The sequence below is a fragment of the Homo sapiens genome, chromosome X (genome assembly GCF_000001405.40).
Source record: "Homo sapiens chromosome X, GRCh38.p14 Primary Assembly".
NCBI lineage: Eukaryota > Metazoa > Chordata > Mammalia > Primates > Hominidae > Homo > Homo sapiens.
In genome coordinates this window covers 69,377,063-69,378,859 of record NC_000023.11, presented here as the reverse complement: position 1 = coordinate 69,378,859, position 1,797 = coordinate 69,377,063, and the positions used below count along the sequence as shown (strand labels likewise).

The window sequence follows — 1,797 nt, the reverse complement described above, 5'->3', positions numbered from 1 at the left end:
AGAAAAGCAAACCCTTTGCTTCTTTACTGTAACAAAACCCCAGCCACAGGCAAAATGAAGAGCTGCATAGAAGACAGAGAGAGAAGAGAAGAGTGAGGGCTGGTGGGAGGCAAGACTTCTCCCTGTAGGGATACCATGAGATGGGCCTTATGTTCATTCAGGATTTGCTGGATAGGATGGGGCTACTCCTTCTCAACCAGCCTGCTTATGCTTAGAAAGCCAGAAATATAAATCTGCCTTGGAAGGGAGTGAGCACCCCGTTTTTGAAGGTGTTTAAGTCATAGCCTGACAATCACTTGTCATTGGAGATGCTGTTAAGAGCAAATCTTCATTAGATTAGGGGTTTGATGGGAAGGCTAGGGTACATTTAAAAGTGTTTTCCAGCCCAGTAGTATTATGATTCACTTAGTTCAACTGTTGTGTAATTTTGGGTCACTCCTTTCCCATCTCCGGGCATCAATCTCTCATCTATAAAGTGGGATTGGGTGGACTCTGGTTTCTAAGGGCTCTTCTGGCTGTGGCATTCTCTTAGTCTATGACTGTAGTCTTTGGGGTACAGGAGTGGGAGGACTTACAGAGTAGGGACCCCTGTCCTTCTCCAACACCTGGCCAAGCCCTTACTCTAGCCTGCTTCTCTGAGTCTCTTTGTAGCCATCGCATTCTTTCCTCATGAAAGTGTAGCAGTAGATATCCCCAGCTGGAGGCCAGGCTGCTGCTGGGTCAGCTCAGAGGAGAATAAAGAAAATTAAGAGGCACTGGCAGGCCCCTGTGAGGAAGAGAATCATCCTGGGTGGGATGTGGGAATTGAGAGCTTAGAGTCCTTGTTCAGCCTGAGCTGCAGCCTCCCCAGTCTAAAGATTATTATAGCTTTGTAGTAAGTTTGACATTGGAAAGCATTAATCCTCCAACTTTATTCTTTTTCAAGAATCTTTTTTTGGCTATTCAGGGTCCATTGCAATTCCTGTGAATTTGAAAATAAGCTTTTCCATTTTGTGCAAAAAAGCCACTGGAATTTGATAAAGATCACATTGAATCTGTAGATTGCTTTGGGTAGTTCTATGGTTTGAATGTTTGTGTCCACTTCAAATTCTATGCTGAAACTTAATCCCCAATGCAACAATATTAAGAGGTAGGGCATTTAGGAGATGATTAGGCCATGAAGGATCCACCCTCATGGATGAGATTAGTGTCTTAGGCACTTATAAGAATTAGTGCCTCAAACCTTTAAAAAGGCTTGAGGGGGTGAGCTCACCCTTCTGTTCCTAATATCATGTGAAGACATAGTGTCCTTCCCCTCTGGAGGATGCAGCAACAAGGTGCCATCTTGGAAGCAGAGAGCAGCCCTCAAACCAACTAATGTCTTGATCTTGGACTTCCCAGACTCCAGAAGAACTGTAAGAAATAAATTTCTGTTGTTTAAAAATTACCCAGTCTGTGGTATTTTGTTGTAGCAGCCTGAAAAAACTAAAACAGATAGTGTTGACATCTCAACAATATTGTCTTCCAATTCATGAACATAGATGTTTTCCCATTTATTTAGGTCTTCTTTAACGTCTTTCAGTAATGTTTTGTAATTTTCAGTGTACAAGTATTTCACCTTCTTGGTTAAATTTATTTCTAGGTATTTTGTCCTTTTCACGTTGTTCATTGCTAGTTTATAGAAATACGACTGATTTTTGCATGTTGAACTTGTACACTTTGTTTGCCGAATTTGTTTACTGGCTTTAGTAGTTTTTTTGTGGATTATTTGGCATTCTCTATATATAGGCTCATGTCACCTATGAATAAAGATATTTT

At 41.2% G+C, this 1,797-nt stretch overlaps 1 annotated feature.

The window, feature by feature from the left end:
* Positions 483 to 1,005: an enhancer, noted in NCBI's record as "NANOG hESC enhancer chrX:68597698-68598220 (GRCh37/hg19 assembly coordinates)". NCBI's record gives its function as "activates a minimal SCP1, AML or CMV promoter by ChIP-STARR-seq in naive H9 embryonic stem cells {active_cell/tissue: H9 hESC(naive)}" and the evidence as "EXISTENCE:reporter gene assay evidence [ECO:0000049][PMID:30033119]".